General features: G+C 38.8%; 2 long non-coding RNA genes across 6 annotated transcripts in view; one reads left to right on the top strand and one right to left on the bottom strand.

Annotated features, from left to right (window-relative positions):
• Positions 1-18,934, top strand: part of LOC101927745 (uncharacterized) — a 75,707-nt gene that overhangs the window by 13,301 nt on the left and 43,472 nt on the right. The window lies entirely within an intron of this gene.
• Positions 5,397-8,372, bottom strand: LOC124905055 (uncharacterized). The gene is made up of 2 exons (XR_007067934.1): positions 8,146-8,372; positions 5,397-5,827 (listed from the first exon to the last, which is right to left on the bottom strand). It is a non-coding gene; the product is annotated as an uncharacterized LOC124905055 (long non-coding RNA).

Here is an 18,934-nt window from a genome sequence, read left to right as displayed (position 1 = left end):
ATGTCCCACCCAGATCCTCCTGTAGGGAGAGATGTGGTGCCCAGCTTCAGGGCATGTGGTCAGCAGACAGCCTCCAACCAGTGCCCCCTTGAGGTTGACCTCAGCTACAGAGTGCAGCCTACCTCTCCTGAGGTCCCACCCACTCCAGGGCACCTGCATCCAGCGATAAGCAAAGGTGTGTGTGAGGGAAAAAGAAGACCCTGCTACATGGGGAAACCTGACAGGTAATTCCCTCTTCAGAGCTCCCTTTTGGGATATCTAGGGCTTTGGTTCACCTTTAATATTGCAGGTCAGTTTCTCTCCTACCTACCAGCAATGGATGCCCAGGTGGGACTGGGGGAAGGGGGAAGTGGGAAGAGGTGCTGTAGAGAAAGACAAGACATCTCATTGTCTGTTTTCAAAAGCTTCATTTAATGCAGAAGAATGGGGAAACACATGTACAAAGGACCATAGTAAGAAACAGAAAAAGCAGGAAAACAAGGAATCATGGATGTTTTCTCAGGAAAGTACCTAATTGTGGAGGTCCCAAGAGACAATGATGTCGTAATGGCTGAGATTCTTCCTGGAGGACTTTGGGAAGTGTGAAGCTCAGAATAGTATCTGGCTCACTTCCTGTCCTCCCGTTTCTGTTTAGGACTCTCCTGAGGAAGGTGCTCAGTTCCACTGAGTGAAATAATAGTACATTTATGGCCACAGTCTTGACTTCAAAATGACTCCCAGATTTCAGTTTTTCTGCAGATCCTTTCAGGAAACTGCAAGCTATGCTTGGCTTTCTGTCGCCATACACACATCTATCACACCAAAAACATGTAACTTATGTCAGGACAAGTTTAATAACAGGATAATTTGATTTCTTAGGTTTTTAACAGAGGACATCATGCTATCTGTTCTTGTTTAAGAGCCACAGAACATGAAATGGTATAGTAAAAGGAGTGGTTGATGTCAGTGGCTAAGCCCTGGATGGCCCACAGAAAGGTCAGATCTTGGTGTCAAAAGTCACAGAGATGCCACATGGCCTCTCAATGAATGCAGGGTGAAGTATTACCCCTAAGAAATACTGGCCATCAGAACAAAGGGAGTTTACTATTGTGCAAATTATTACTGTTTAAGGGATGACTCAATTTTGGTGATTATACTAGTATCATCCAAAAATGGAGCTTTTGAGTTTGCTCCAGATTTTGAAAAATTGATTCTTACTGAAGAGGACTAAAATCTCTATGTCAGCGTTCAGTGTCTTAACACATTATCTTCTTATCTACAGGCAGCTTAAACCAGTATCTTAAGTGAACGGCTGGAAGCCAGGAATTTTGAGACTGGGTACAGCCTAGTAGAAAAAGCATGGGTAATGGGGCACTATTTAAAATCTCTTTTTGAAAGATTTGAAAATCTTGAATTTGAAAATCTTGAATCTCTCTTTGCCAGCTAACCAGCTGTGAACATGGAGCCACTTCTAAGATCCTTCTGAGCCCCAGTTTCTGAATCTGCAAAAGAGGGACAATCCTTCTTGCCTTGCAGAATTATTGTGAAGTTTACATTAGATCCTGTATGCTATGCACAGGATGTATGAGGCTTACAAAAAGCCTTTTCTTATAGCTTCTTGGTGAGGTAGAATGAGTTCATATTGCACAAGAGTTCATTTTCTGAATCTAACTTACCCATCGTATGAGAAATTAATAATTAAATGGTTGTGACATTTTTATCATTATGACATAGCAGAAGAATACTTAACAATTGAAGTAACATGGCATTCATCATCAATCTCATTTTGAGAGGGTCGACTCACAAATAGAACTTCTTTTCTTGCTTATGATATTCATACAGCTATATTCATATCTTTAAAAATTATGACATATCTTTTATATTTTTATATATTTCATGCTTTATATTTTCAAATATAAGTACAGTTAATATACAATCTTCTTTTGCCTTTGAATTTCACTTTCAGAGACATGTTTCTATTTCCCAATATTTGCCTCTTATCTATAATAAAAGTCACCATCCTCTTCAAAGTGTGTTGTGTCAATGTGCAACCTCAGTATACTTAATTCTCTGACACACACCCTCTGAGAAGAGTGGTGAGAGTTGCAAGGTGAAGCTCTCTTCTTTGGGGCACTCATTCAGAATATACGTAGACCAAAAGACAATTCTTGTCTCACTTTCATTATGATTTCCCAATGAGCCTCCTGAAAAGCTTCTACCGTTAAATTGATTATGCGTAAAATATAATTTATGAACTTGAATAATCACATTTTTAATTTTTTGCAGCTGAAATGATATGTGATGTACAGTTTAAAGGGTTATCATCTCCTTTCAGAAATAATCACCTGGTTATAAACCCATTACCAAGATAGTAAATAAGACCAAAATCTTCACTGGCTTTGAAGATAGACTTGGTTTGAAATATTCACCCCACAATAAATTGCTTGTATAAATTTGGGAAAATTTTTTGCCATTTTTGAGCCTCAGCTTCCTCATCTGTTAAGATTGGGTTAGTAATGATACTACTTCAAGATGACATTATGAGATGGTGAGAGAAAGCACATAGGGCTTTCTAGAAAAATTCTGTCTCATCTGAAACTTGAAAGAGGTATAGTGTTAGCCAAGCCAAGAAGGTGGGAAAACTGGCCTTAAAAGAAATGATCAACTCTGCACAGAATATTCTTTATGGTTTTATCATACCAGTGATGGCATCTCTTGTCATATACATGCATTTAGGTCATAAACTACATTTTATTTAGCATTGAACATCTCCAGCATCCCCCTGCCTTTATAGGAATAAGCAACAAAAGATAAACTGAACTACATTGAAAGTAAAAGCTTTTGTGTTGCAAATGATACTATCAAGAAAGTGAAATGACAACCCATAGAATGGAGAAAATATTTGTAAATAATATGTGTATAAGAGATTGATATATAGATTGTTATAACTGTTATAATAACTCCTACAACTCAATAATAAAATGCCAAATAATTCAATTTTCAAATGGACAAAGGATTTGAATAAACATTTCTCCAAAGAAAATATAGAAATGGCCAACCAGAACATTTAAAAAATGCTCAACATTGTTAGTCATTAAGAATGTGAAAATTGGCCAGGCATGGTGGCTCACACCTGTAATCCCAGCATTTTGGGAGGCTGAGGCAGGTGGATCACTTGAGGTCAGGAGTTCAAGACCAGCCTGTCCAACATGGTGAAATCTCGTCTCTACCAAAAATATAAAAAATTAGCCAGGTGTGGTGGCATGAACCTGTAATCCCAGCTACTCAGCAGGCTGAGGCAGGAGAATGAATCACTTGAACCCGAGAGGTGGAGGTTGCAGTAAGCTGAAATTGTGCCATTGCACTCCAGCCTGGGTGACAGAGCGAGACTCTGTCTCAAAAAAAAAACTGTGAAAATTAAAAGTATATGAGGAACCACTCTACACCTACTAGGATGGCTATATTTTAAAAAGAAAGAAAGAAAAGAACAATAACAACTATTGTTGAGGATATAGAAAAATTGAAACCCTCACACATTGCTGGAAGAAATGGAAAATGGTACAGCCACTTTGGAAAACAGTTTGGATGTACCTCATAAGGTTACACATGGAGGCATAGAGGTATCTTGTTTAACTCCACTATGACCTAGAAATTTCACTTCTGGGTATATGCCCGAGAGAAATGAAAATATACATCCACACAATAAACATGTGAAAAATGTTATAGCAGCATATTCATAATAGCCACAATATGGAAATAGCGCAAACGTCCATCAACTGATGAAAATAGGGTATACCCACACAGCAGAATATTATTTGGCACTTAAAAAGAATGAAGTACCGACACATGCTATAACAAGGCCGAACCTTGAAAACATCAAGCTAAGTGAAAGGAACAAATTACCAAAGATTACATATTGTGTGATTCAATTTATATGAAAGTTCGTAAGAGGCATATCTATAGTGACAGAATGTTGATTGGGATAACTAGGGCTGGCGGGGTGGAAGAGGGAAAATCAGATTAACTGTTAATAAAGAGGGGATTATTTGGGGGAGTGATGAAATGTTCTAAACCAAGATGATGAAGATGGTTACAGAACTCTCAGAATTCATTAAACCCATTCAATTTGCTAAATTTTATGGTATGTAAATTATATTTCAATAAAGAGTATTAGAAAAACGAAAACCATACAGGGTTCTATGCACCATTGTCAGAAGGTGATGGAAATTCCAAAGCTCATTCCGTTTCTGAGGTATTTTTGAAACTACAGGTATTCTAAAAATGCATGTATATATGTATTTGAAACATCCCAATGTAGAAAACAAACTACTTTTCAACTTAAGTGAAACTAGATTGAGATAAACTCAAAATAAAGTTAAGTCTGTCAAAGTGATTTGATACCATTACAAAATTATTTGACATTCACTATTTATCATGTTAAATTTTTGTAGCCTCTTCTGAATTGCTCTCTAGGCATGTGGGATTGTGGAACTATTACTCTGGCTAATATTGAAGTATTAAGGCATAATGTCTAGCAGATACAGTAATAGACAGTGTCTGATTTATCTGTTTTCGATCTAACTGATAGTAATAGATACACTTTCATTAACATAATAGAATCATTTCACAATTATTTTAATGCACCAGCTAGACACAGAAAATAACTTTGATTTTGTGTTCAGTGCCCATTTGCCCACTTAAACCTGCCTGCAAACTCGTCTTTTCCTACTGCTTGGATTAAATCTCAAGAATTCACACAATAAAAATTCATCCAGTCACTCTGAGTTACAAATAAGATCTCATTTTATCAACTGAAATATCTAGTACAGAGTCATAATCAGAACTCCAGACCCATGCCTATTTAGTCCTCCTCTTCTCTGACAGCTCAATTCTGTGTTATGTCCGAAAGCTCGTAGCAGGAAGGGAATGGGCAGATACATCCCCGTTGTTGCTTACTCGCTGGCTATGCTTTCTGATCCTTCCACGGTCAGGCTCAGGAGGGCATGAATCACGGACCCAAAACAGGGACTTTGAGATTACTCCGCCAAGGGATTAAGAGAAGACTGAAATTCTGCTCACACTCTGCTTACCAACTCATGTGTCCTGGCAAATGGTATTATGTCCCCCAGGAAGAAGCGATACCATTCAAATCTGCACATGCCCATCATCTGTTCACAAGTCTTTTGCCTATGGGGTGGGCCTGCATCTACTTCAAGAATGTACCATTTAGTTTTTTGTTTTTTTAACTAGCAAAATTTTAACATCGTAAAGATAGAGCTGCCCTATACCATTACCCAGCTTAAAAAACTACCAAATCTTAGAGATGTCTTTTCATTTCAAACGAAGTTGTAGGGATGATGGGAATTTTTTCCTCCCCCTCTGAAGTTTCAAGTCTGCTAAAATAAACTGACAATGGATTTACAAGAGGAAAAGCACACAAATTTATTAACATGTAAGTGTTTACGGGAACCATACAAAATATGAAACTCAAAGAAGGGCAAGGTGGTTGAAGCTTAAATACTCTCTTCATAGGGAAGAGAGAAATGAGAAATGTAGGTAATTTTAAGGGGTAGTAAGTGACTTTCAGGGAGATTGAATGAGTCCCAAGAACAGCCAATGTCCTAGAACAAAGCTTCTCTGATCTCTGAAGGATGTTCCAACAAATTGCAGAAAAGTGAGGGACAGAACTCCACAGTGAGCAAAGGTTGTCTTCTTACATAGGTAAAATCTCCCAGGTAACTTCTCAGAGCTAGTCTCAGAAGAATAGATGAAAAGTGTTTGGCATGGGCATGGTGACAGCATTGTCTTTTCTCTGCGCTTAATCTTCTTTGCTTATTTGATGAGATTCCTAGGGAGGGGGTTTTAAGATAATTGCGTTTCTTTTGGAAGAAGTTTCTACAGCCATACTAGAGAACTTCCAGAGAGAAGCTCTCTCTGTAATAGATATACTTTCTATCTATCTGTCCTTGGTGAGGAGGAGAAACGAGAAGATCAGAAAGTCCCTGTTTCTGAGTCTGCTTCTAAGGCCTTTTAATTTCCTGTAGTTCAAAGTGCTCAGCATGCTGCAGTGCCATACTTTGGAGGACTGGGCCCCAGCAAAGGTATCATTCTATGGACTCCTAGAGGCCTTAAACACACTGCCTGTAAACCTACCTTAGTGACTACTTCATATGGTGCCTTTGGGTTACATAAACCCTCCCCTCCACAGTCCTCACCACTTGTCTAAACCATACCTGTCCTTTCAGTTTCACCTCCTTTATAAGATCCTGCCCTGATTGTCCTGGCATAGCCGTTCCTTCATCCACTGAGAACGCAAAGCATCCAGTACCAGTTCACTGAATACTTTTCTAGTGATATGTTATATTCCTTCCCTCCCTTTCCATTCCTTCACCTTTCTCTCTCCGTCCCTGCCTCTTCCTCTCTTGTTCTTTTTTTCTTTTTTGTCTTTCTTCCTTGTCTTTTATTTCCAATTATGGGCCTTGTTTAGAAAGCCAAGTGACACAACTCCTTTAAGTAAAAAGAATAGTGCCTTACTCCAAACTTCTTACCCACTAGTCCTGTGCCTCAGATTGGTCATTTTTTATTGCTTTGCTTGCTTGTCTCTTCTGCCCTTTAACTTCATGTTTCCAAATAAAATGCATCTATTGCTTTTAGAGCTTTTTCAATTTTGTAAGTTGTCTTTTTACTTCCTTCTAACAAAGACTAGGATTTAGCTGTCTTACGCCAATGCTAACACACATACTTTATCCTTCCATGGTAGTTCCTTGGTACATCTTAAAGTCAAGATTTGGTGTCTGCGTGGTTATGTTTAAGTTAGATTTTTGTTTATATCAAGTCTTGTAGAAAACATGCTAATATTTCTTTTCTTGTATAACTTTTTATTTTTCCTGGATTTAATAATTGCCTCATTTATTTGCTTGTGTCTATAATTAATGTGTCTATAATCTGTCTGACTGAACTGTAAGCCTTATAAATGTAGTCATTCAGACTGGTTTTATGGTTTTCTTGGTGATACCCCTCCTGGAACCATCTGGTTTCTATTCTGATCTGAACTGATTGCTCTGCTGGCCTCAGTGTAGTTATTTTCCTGGGACTTTCCTTCATCTTCATCCTGGGAATTCCCTTAGCTTTTCTTCCCTGTTGGGTCCCAGTTCCTGAATCATTTGTCTTTTTTGATTTGGAGGCTTTGATTTTGGGAACACATACATCAGTATCCTCCCAGGAAAGTCAGCATGCCTGGGAATAGGCGGAGGGATGGATGATTGTTTTGAAATTTTTCTGCATGTCTAAAGATGTCTTTATTTTACCCACATAATTGATTTATAATTTGGATTGATATAGGATTTTGTGTTGTTAATTATGTTCCCTCAAATTTCACAGGTTTTCTCCACTGAATTCTAGCTTCCAGGGAGGCTATCAGTAATTCCGAAGCCATTTTAATGCTAATCTTTCTCTGCAAGCTTTTAAGGTACTCTCATTGTCTCAGGCTTTCCCACTGAGGATTCTTTTCATTCACTGCAATGCCTGCAAGTAAACTCTTTAGAATTTGTGCTGCAGACATTTATCAAGCTCTAGCTATATGCAAGAACTATCTTAAAACTCGTGTCTGGAGTGCTATAAAATTTTCTTTTATTATTTCCTATTTCCTACCCTTCATTTTCTATCTTCTCAATTTATAGTGCTCCTACGATCTGTCTGTTGGATATCAGATTTGACTCTCTAATTTTCTTACCTTTTCTCACTTATTTTCAATTTCAGTTTCTTTTGAATAGTTATCCTCCTACTCAAGAGATGTCCTAAATTATCTTCTGTTGTTTAAAAAATGCAACTTCTTAACTATCTGATTAAATTAATTAAAGTTTTAAAGTTTATTTTTTCATTTATCCTGTTTCATGTAAGTTCATTTTTTTCTGTTTTGGATTTTTTATTTAATAATAGCCGCATGTCTCAAATAATTGGATGTTACTCCACTTCAGAGTATGGCTTTGAGAACTGGTAGTAAGCTACGAGAGACCAGCCTTGTTGTCTGCAACTGTTTTCTCTAGGACTAATAAATTCTGCTAAAGTTGGTCCTCCATTCTCCTGCCAGTCAGGATATAAAGCTAGCATCCTTCAATCTGAATCTTCCAGGGGAAGGAAAGAGAAAGAGTGGATCAGATGTCTCACCATTTAGAATGAAAATGATCACCCAGTGCTGGCCTTCCTTTCATGGTCAGTGTGTCTTCTGTCCACTTATGGAAATCTTGATGATAACGCCTTTCTCCCAGAGTCAAGGACGGACAGCTGCTCAGCTTTGTGGGATGAGAGAAGGCATCTGAGGATATAACTGTTCCCTACAATGTTTCATTCCATTCATCTGGGTCAGCAGCCTCCCACACTCCTCTTTCTGAGCTACCTGGTGCTTCTAGTCCCTGAGTGTTTTCAAGGTTTTGTGGTCTGTTTTTGGCTTCTTTTCATTAGGCGTGTACATTCCCAGAAAGTTCAAATCTGTGTGAGTTACCATTTGGTGATGACTCATCTGCTGTTTTGTCTGCTCTTTGTCTCTATGTTCTTACCATTTGGGGGATTTTGGGAGATAAGCATATATGTTCAATTGGGTGCATTTAATTTCAAGTCTATTTTACTGTTTCGTTCTATCCATTTTTCCTTTGGTCCAAACATTTTCTCTCCTCTCATTTTATTCTTCCCAGTCTCCAAGTACCCTAAAGCAATGATCGTGGCCTGCCATCGTTCTGTGAAGTGGGCAGCCAAGTCATGGCAGGACTGATTTTCAAGAGACAGGAACTAAGAAAGGTGGCCTGACCTCAGCCTGGACTATGGCTTTTGAGGGGGACTGGCAGGGGGTTGCTGGGCTGGTCTGGGGATAGGAGTCAGCTGGTCAGCAATAATTACTACAGGCTGAGAATTGCTCCAGGCTGCCCAGAAAGGAAAAGATGAGCATTGTAGGGATCACCTGGACCTGGTCAGGAGATTATCAGAAACTCTAAGGAGATTCTGGGGTGGTTGAGGTCACCAACTAAAAGGCAAGAATGATTTCAGTCTGCTGCATTCATGATTACAGCTCCATGGTTTTCTAGCTGTGGGGCCCTTAGGAAACTTGCTTAATTCTCTGAAATTCAGTTTGTTCAGCTGCAAAATGGGGTCATTAGCCATACCTTCCTCCTAGAGTTGTGAAGTGAATCCTTTAATATATTAAATGACTAATATAGCTTCATGTAGTGACTCAAGAAAAAAATGGTGTGGGAGGACTAGTCTTATCATGCTTCATGTGTGACACACGGTACCTCCTGTTAATAAACCTTTGTTAACTAGTTGAGTGAAATACATCTAGAGCAAATTATACTGAATTGAATTTTATAGCCAGTTTTCTATGCTAGGCAAGAAAACTAACAAAAAACCGTTTTAGTTGTTGCTTTTAGCTGGAATAATTAGCCACATAGCACTGCAATTGAAAAGATGTATATTTCCAAATCTCTTCCAAATATTCCAATCTACACCGCCAGGTAGACAAATCATGACTGATTAACCAAGAGCTATGCTTTGTTTGGTCCAGTAACAACTCTGCCCCAGGCACGTCGGCACAGTCTTCCAGGGACTCTGACTGATCAGCAAAGAACCAAATGGCTGGTAATTTCTAATTTATAAACACTGCTTGACGTAGGCAGTTGGGCATTCTGCCACACTGCTATGGCCTGAAATGGCCCAACCACTTTTCAGTGCACGAAAAGCAATTTCAAGTGACTTAATAACTCTTTACCTACCCCTCTGTTGGGGTCCACAGACAACATTGGATGGAGATGGCCACCAAGTGGCCTCAGGACAAGGAGCTCAGATTACTGCTTCCCAGGGTTTCCAGCTGAACAATGAATATATTGTGAAGGTCCCATCTGTCAAAGTAATCAAAGTATAAAGAGGGAAATGATACAATTAGACCTTTAAGACACATACATTTATCTTTGGTTTTTCAAAACTGATAGCAATTTGGCCAGGCTTCCCTTGGCGAAGAAGACAGAGATTGGCATTCTTTCACGCAAACTGAAATCTTGCCTAAAATGAATCTCCGAGTACAAAGGTGAGAAAACAGAGAAGCAAGTAGGACTATTGAGGGAGGCATGGAAAAAATCCTGTATATAAACTAAGTGTTCCAACAAGACAGATAACTAATAAGCTTAGGTTAAGCACTATTTTTTTTTTAATGAAACATATCCACCTGCTAATAGCATGGAAGTTTATATACAGAAAAAAAAAAAAAAAAAGAACTGAGATAACTCCCGATGGTAAAAGGCCACTGTCCTCTCTGGTTGCTGTGACCTCCAGCAGTGTTGCTGCTGGAGTCCCGGTTCCTTCGTCAGTTCTCTTCTGTACTGAGGGGCTCATGCAGAACTCTCGCTATCACTTTCAGCCTCCTTGGCAGCTACAGTCGTGTGCTAGACCCCCACTGTTTGAAACTGGTGGGATGCTCCTCCACCTTTCAGATGCTTTCTCTCTGCTCACCCCAAAGTCATTCCTCACCTCTGCCATCAGCCATCTATGCACCGGTTACACACAAGCCCCACTGCTTCAAAGCAGCCATCCTCCCTCAGTGACCTGAGCCCAGACTGCCACACTCAGACTAACCATCTTTGGACCCTGCCTGGGCCACATGGTACTGGTTACGATTTCCCCACAAAAATCATTACCTTCCTGAAGGAGAACTTTTCTTCTTCCTATCTTCCCCATTCCCTTAGACCAAGCTAAGCAAGACTCATTATCCAGGTGCTATGGCCTCTTCTTGCTTCTCTGGTGAATGAATTATTGGGTATTCGGGGCACCTACAACCTTGTCTGGATCTGAAAGGGCATCAGATGGAAGGCAGGCAGACACCCAGACATCCCTTAACAACTCTGAATGCCATTAGGCTGGTGTCCTTCCTCCTGCAAGGTGCCTTAGAGCAAGGGCTCATCATCACTTGTCTAGACAAAAATCCTGATCTGTTTAATGAATCTAGCCTTACAAGAACCTCAGACACAAGCAAGAGCATCACCCCAGACCCAGTCCTAAGAAATGTGTGTTTAAGAACCTGAATGGAATTCCTAGGCCATATTTTGTCCTGCCAACACAAGGGCATAATACTGGACTAAATATTGGTGAAATGTCCCTGAAGATGATTAGAAATATGCAGTAATTTTTGGGGTCCACTGTTGATTACTCCTAACTTGTTCTTCATTTTTCTACCTTGATGATAGAAACAATCTCCTTGGGAAAGGGAAGTGCTTCCCCAGTCCCAGTCACATCTGTAAACTTCTGGCATTTAAAAACTGGGTTGATATTTACTGTGGTGCCAGTGTACTCTACCTTACATAAACAAAGGCTTCTCATTTTAAAGGAAGTAGGGAATCCCTTTCCAGGATTGATGTCTTCAGGAAATAATACTGGGGAAAGTCAGTTGACTAATGTTAGAGCTGGACTTTTAATGATCAAGACTACTTTTGGCCACCTAGACTGCTGCTTCTTACGAGAGCTGAAGCAGACCTAGAAATTCAGACTTTGAGGGATTAGATCAGGTTTCAAGGCATTTTATGTCTTCACCAAGTAGGAGCAACCAACCAGGAAAGCATCATATATATCAAGGACAATGGGGTTACTCCCTCCAATTTTACACATTTTCTGTCCCTATAACTTCAAGCCACAGGTGAATGAAATGACCCAGTGAAGCCAGTTCATCACTGAGCTCCATCCACAGCCCTTTAAATCTAACTGGTTCACTCACACATCATGGTGCAAAGAGCATGGAATCAAATTATAAATAACGAACTCATCTCAAATATTTGCCTAACACTCTCAGGCTTTGCCACCTGACCTGTTATTTCCAGCTCCTCAATCTTCTGGCTGTTCCAGCTCCCCAAATTTGGCTTTAAATCCTCTTGCTATTTAGCACTCCATTTGAACCTCATTAATTGGTTTTTAACCTCAACCGCCTGCTATACTCTTGGGATCACAGCAGGGCTGTTTCCCTAAATGTTTTGGCTTTCCAGAATGCTGACTGTCACTCACACCCCACCATTATGTCCAGGTCAGCCCCCTTAAGCTCCTTTTTTAATTTTTGTTAGAGGAAGATGTGATTATTCATTAAATGCCTAAAGAAACATTGCCATATAAAATATTTTAACTGATTTGTTTTTAACTTTTTGAGCTATGTGTATCCCCTCTCCAACCCAAGTACATAATGCTGTAAGTCAACCTAACTCATTTTTGAAGACTTCCATTAGATGTGCTGCTACTATGGCCTCCTATCTCTATATCCACAGCTACATTCACATGTTATTGACACTGAACTAAGCAGTCCATTAATACATACAAACATACTCACAAAAAATTAATCTTCCTTTCATCCCTAATTCCTGCTTGCAAATGGGTAGTCTTTGCCATATCTGTGTTTGCATCTGATTCTGATTCTTGGCCATTATCTTCCCCTGGATTCAGTTAAAGTCACTTCTTCCCATTCCTGCCATTTTCTCCCAGCTGACTACTCAGCCACCTTTACACAGCAGTATGTTCTGAGACAATCTTATGCCAAAAATTCTGTGTTTGCTCTTGAGGACAGAACTAAAATAGATAAGGCAAAATTATAGCAAAAAATGGTATCTTAATATAAGGAAAATCTAGCCATGTGCGGTATTTTGCTAAAGCTGGCTATCTCCAAAGTGATGAACTCAACTGCAATTAATATACTTAAGTCAAGGTTGAAGGACTAACATAATAAAATTTTTTTTTTGGAAAGAGATGCATTAGAGAACTCCAAAGAGTCTTTCTACTTCTAATATTATATAAAAATAATATGTTCAAATAACATTAAACTCAATTTTGTCTGAGGCATCAAAGGCTGAGAGTAAATGGTGACTTTCACATCCCCAAGTAAGCTGAAGGAGCAGACTCCCTGCAAAGCACATGTTATGGGAGTGAAACTGGTTCTGCCAGCATAGGGAGCCAACCAGGAAAAGAGAATTGTTGCGGAGAAAGGGATAACCCCATAGCCTCTGCCATATATAGTTGCTGAACACCATTCTCCCACCTCCTCCAACCAAGTCTAAGCTTTGAAGAGAGAGTTCGACTTGTGTTCTTATGCCCAGGGAAATGCATAGAAATAAAGAATGGGGCCAGACACAAGTTTGAGAAATTTAAAGGTGACAGAAGTCACTAAAGCTGCCTTCCTCATGGTGCAGCAAGATGACACAAGTCCTAGAAAGGGAGCTACGCTTACAATAACAGGCTCAGTTTCCCCATGGGGCAAATGAAGCTGTTCTTGAGCCATCCTGAAAGAGCCTCCACCCAAGAGGGTTGCCTGAATACAAAGGGGATCTTAAAACAATGTGATAGAGTGCTAGGATCCAGGGTCTGAGGAAGTGGGAAGCTGATGCTGGAAGAAGTGTTCAAGTATCAGCTAATACTCAGCCAATCAATACATACCACTATATGTGGAGGTCCCTTGTGTGTTTTGAGGATACATAGAATGAATTGCTTGGAATGATGGGGAGTTTGGGGAACTATCACTGGAGGATTAGATTAGGACCAAACTTTGAAGGTCAGCCTAAATTGTATGATCTAAATCAATACATGAATTCAGCATAGATATTAGGCTGAGAAAGATCATGATGTCAGATGATTGGGAAATATATTCTTCCTTGGTCCCACTTATTTCCCTATTATGAAGCAGATTTTTCCCAAATTAAATTAAACCAATTTCTATTGAGGTTTATTCCTTCATATTCTTTCCTTTATCCTTGTACTCAGCTTTTTGCTTTCCATATGTTTTTTGTTCACCTACATGAAGTCAGATTTAATCTTGTCTTCAGTGCTCTATGCTAGTGTTACATTGCCTGCTAATATCATTCCTACTTCCTGAGATCATTAAACACAAGACATTGATACATCTTATCAGAGTCTTTATTTCAATTATTATACACCAAACCCAAACTTTCTGTCTAATGTGATCCTCACTTCCTTAGAAATGCATCTGACTTGATCATCAAATCATTTTACTTAAGCCTTTCAGAATTTAGTTAAAAAATCAATTCGTCTATAATGCATACAATATTTCTATAGACTCAAAGTCATTATCCCAAAGGAAAAATTCCAAATTAAGGTTATTGAAAACTATATCCATCCTAAAAAAATTCCACTGTGCCTCACCTTACTTCCAACTTGTGTTTAATTCTTATTTGAGCCTAGGCTCTTTCGTCAGATAACGGCCGGGTTTTGAAGGAGCTGTCCACCCTAGCAAATGTCTCAGCATTTCAAAATATTAATTATAACAGTAGTCAATTAGAAATGTTTCTGGCAACTTTCTAGCTCTGAAAGTGTTTTCTAGTAATAACTATTGGTGATATTAATAAAGAATCTTGGGAAAAAGGAACAACTATATAAAATTATATTTCTCAATACACATTACTATTATCTCTTATGTCTGTTGCATATTTTTATTTGTTTACTTAGTGCCAAAATCCTGGAACTGTGCTTGTGGGACATGTACAAAGAAAGTGTCTCTCGTCTCTGAGGTCTTTCCTGATTCATCAAAATGTATTAGGAAAGAAAAGTGACTGTCTTGGCAAAGAACCACAGTATTTTGCTGCATTTGTTTGTTTTTATTAACACAACTCATATTTGAAATAAAAACACATTTTATACCATACTCTTTGGTCCCCTCATTTTACATAATATCACAACTTAAATGCATTTTTAAAATAAGTGTATATAGAAGGGTGTTATTTTTGTTTTCTGACTTTAACAGTTGAGAGAGTGTGTGTGCGTGTGTGTGTTTTAAGAATTCCTTTAGGTCTGTTCAATTTATCTCATTTTGTTTTGTTTGTGTAACTTAAAATCACTAATCATTTTCTTGTTTAATGTTAAAATAGTTCAGATAAAATGCAAAAGCAAGAAATTGCACCTGATACTTGAAAGTCACTATTCCTGACAGCACTTCATCTTTTTTCATGCCCATATTGGCTTTTCTCCCGGCCCATCCATTCCTTAATGTAAGTGTTATAAATTGCTCTAAAGTGCCATAAAGCATAATATACATAAATCAATATTTCTTGGTTAAAAACTTAGAAATTCTGGTCCACCTCAGGTTGGTTATAGGTGTCCTGAATCTATCATGTCCCTTGCTTATTTCCTCTTATCAGAAGTCATTTCTGGGCCCAAGAATGCCTCCCTTTTTGTTTTTCTCTCTGACCCTTGTCCCCTGGACACTTGCAGTGACACATCAAGATGGATTGTGGGGAAGATATCATCCAGCAGCCTTAGAAAAGCCCCATTCTTTTTCCTTTTGGCCTCTGATCCTGGCAACTTTGGAGGAGTGCAGTGATGTTCTCAGACAAAGTCAGACCGCAGGCTGGCAATATGTCAAGCTCATCTGAGGCAAATTCCAGTTTGTCATGGGAAAAAAAAAGTGTTCATTTTCTTCTGGGATTCAATGAATTAAGCAAAAGCCCACTCTTTTCCTTCTGGTTTTTGCAAATGTGTCATCTGATCTAAATGGAACACCTGCAGGCAGCTTAATGACAAAAATGACACATTTGAATTCTGCTATCTTTGGAATTTTTTAATATGATCATATGCTGCACCCTTGGGTAGAAAACCACATCCCTCTCCTGGAAATGACAGCTTGCCCCCACAGCCAACTGACGCTATTTATGTGGCATTGTTGTTATTTATTCCCATCTCAAAGGGGATGATTGAATGGCTTTGTGGTTTCTCCCAAGACTCTGTAGAGCTATATAGTATGAAATCTGCAAGCTCAGGTGATCATCTTTCTTGAGAAGATTTTCACAGGTGGCTCTTTGGAAATTGCATGAAAATGTTGGTAGGACATTAGACAAAGTGATTTTATTAAGCTTATTGACTCACAGTTCACTTTTCTTACTAATTGTGAACCTCTGCACACAGAAGGCAGACTGCCTTCTCCCTAAAACCTCACTGAGTTCCAGCAGAAAGCAGGCTTTTCCTGGATATTAAGAAGCAGCTTTTGCCTGAGGAAGACACAACTACCTAGATTGTGTTTCATGGGAATAAGAATGGGGAGAATGAGACAGACTCCAATCCCCCAGTTATCTCCCTCCCACCTGTCCCAGTCTCAAACACTTTCATTGACATTCATTCCTTAGGATTTGGAAAACTTGTAGATCAATAGAAAACTAAGTGATCTCTAAGTATATGAAAAGATGCTAAGCTGTACTCATAAGGGCAATATAAATAGAAAAGATCCTCAGGTGTCATTTTTTTACTAATGATATTGGCCAAACAATTTTAACACAAGAAGATTTTGTTATGTCATTGCTGGTGATTCAAGACTTGTGGAGGAGCACTAGGAATAGCTATCAAACTTACAAATGCAATTGTTCTTGGATTTCAGCAATTCCAATCTTAGGACTTGATCCTATAAAAAAAACCCTGCATATATGAATGACAAATATATAAAATTATTTCTTGCAGAGTTCTGTAAATATCAAAATTCAAAACAACTTAAACTTCTTCACTAAGGGACTGGTTAAATTAACCATGGTATATCCACACAATTGACTATTATACAGTAGTACAAAAGAAAGCGGCAGCTCTTTATATACTGGAAATATCTCTAGGATGTATCTTTAAATGGAAAAACAAAGACATAGAACAGTACATATGTGTTAATATATGTATACATGAAAGAGGCAAAAAATTTGTATTTAGTCTTGCTTTCTATTTGCATAAAGATATACTTAAAATATAAATTAAAAACTAATAACAGGGGTTACCTGTGGGAACTGATGAAAGGAACAAAACTGATGAGATTGGAGAGAAGAGTAAGAATTATCAATGTATACTGCTTTGATTTTTGAGCTATGTGAATGTGTAACTATTCAAAACATTTTAAAAATAAGAGGTCATATATTTATTTACTTTGTAAAGCATTTTATTGTGGTAAAACATATATAACAAAATTTGCCACTGTAACTACTTTTAAGTTGACAATTAAGTGGCATTAATTACATTCACAATGTTGTGCAACCCTCACAACTTTCGATTTCCAAAAATTTTCATCAACCTAAACAGAAACTCTGTATTCATTAAGCAATAACTTTCTGTTCTCCACTCTCCTCATCCCCTGGTAACCTCTGATCTACTTTCTGTTTCTATGAATCTGCCTACTCTAGAGATTTCATATCAGTGGAATCATACAATAGTTGTCACTTTGTGTCTGACTAATTTCATTTAGCATAATGTCTTCAAGTATCATCCATGTTGTAGCATGTATCAAAATTTTATTCCTTTTTATGGCTAAATAATATTTTATCATATGTATATAACATTTTATCTATTCATCTGTAGATGGACATTAGGGTTGTTCCCACCTTTTGACTGTTGGGAATAGTACTTCAATACACACTAGCATGTGAGTACCTGTTTGAGCCTCTGTTTTCAATTATTTTGGTTATTTACGTAGAAGTGACTTGCTGAGTCATGTGGTAATTCCATATGTAGCTTTCTGAGGAACTTCCAAACCATTTTCCATGACAGCTACCCCCTTTTACATTTCTACCAGCAATATACGAGGGTTCCAATTTCTCTACACCCTCACCAACACTTGTCGTTTTCTGCTATTTTGATTATAGCCATCCTAAAGGGTATGGAGTAATAGCTCCTTGGGGTTGACCTACTCAAAATGTTTAAATTGATAAGAAAGCTATTCATAAATGCCTTCTATTAAAATGTAGAAGACAAAATTGATGGCTCCCACCTGTAATCCCAGCACTTTGGGAGGCCGAGGTGGGAGGATCACTAGAGCTCGGGAGTACAAGGACAGCCTATGCAACATGGTGAAACCTCCATCTCTACAAAAAATCCAAAAATTAGCCAGGTGTGGTGGTGTGTGCCTGTGGTCCTAGCTACTTGGGAGGCTGAGGTAGGAGAATCGCTTGAGCCTGTTATGTAGAGGTTGCAGTGAGCCAAAATTGCACCACTGCACTCCAGCCTGGGTGACAGAGTGAGACCCTGTCTCAAAAAAAAAAAAAAAAAGAAAGAAAGAAAGAAAAGAGTAATACTGTGAAGAAACACCATCTCAAATTTATTACTAAATCAACAAGTTGGCTGACATTTAGCAGACCTCAAGTTGCCAAGGTGTGGGCACTGGGTAGGCCCTATCCTCTGAATGTACATAAAAGCCACTCGTGATTACAGTTGTTATTATTATTGTTGAATGTCTATCAAATGCTAGCAATTTATGCCATTATTTTCCCCTGAAAGTTCTCTGAGGTAGATATTTTTTATCCCTGTTTGATAGATGAGGAAGCTGAAGTCCTTCCAGGATAAGAAAGCCAAAGTCAAACCGCTGGTAAATGGCAATGCCAGGATTTGAATCAAAGTTGTCTTGATGTCTGGACTTTTTTCCACCCAAAACAAGGCCTTTAGGCCCAAGTCTTTTCCTTTCTTTCTGATTTGATACTGTGGCATCTGAGCTAGTTTACACCATTTTCTCTGAAATCTCAGGCTCACAAGACACCACCAAAGAACACAGATCTTTCTATCAGCTTGGCACCTGGAGCTTTCTCCTTTCTCTGAGACCTGCAAATTTGAATATATCTGCAGCCAAATGGCAGGTTCCTTCACAAAAGGAAGTAAGCTGTAATGCACAAGAGATAGGCTGACTGCTTCGCTAATCTGAACTGGGATCTGGCAGGAGAAAGGTGAGCAGACCCAATGGCCAGAGCTTTCCATCCGTGATCTGACAAGTGGAATGAACGGTCAGCCCCTTCTTTATAAATCATGCCTTACTCTGAGCACAGTGCCCTCATCTGTGAATAGCTGCTGCCAAAGTGCTGGATGAAGTGGCCTAACCCACCTAGGAGAGTCTACTGAAAAGCTCACCAATCACCTCTTCACCAGGTCCATGTGTGAGTGGGGTTGTTAGCAACACCCATCTGCACACAGGGAAATATGA

The sequence above is a fragment of the Homo sapiens genome, chromosome 21 (genome assembly GCF_000001405.40).
Source record: "Homo sapiens chromosome 21, GRCh38.p14 Primary Assembly".
Taxonomy (NCBI): Eukaryota; Metazoa; Chordata; class Mammalia; order Primates; family Hominidae; genus Homo; species Homo sapiens.
This window is presented reverse-complemented; position numbering and strand designations above follow the sequence as displayed.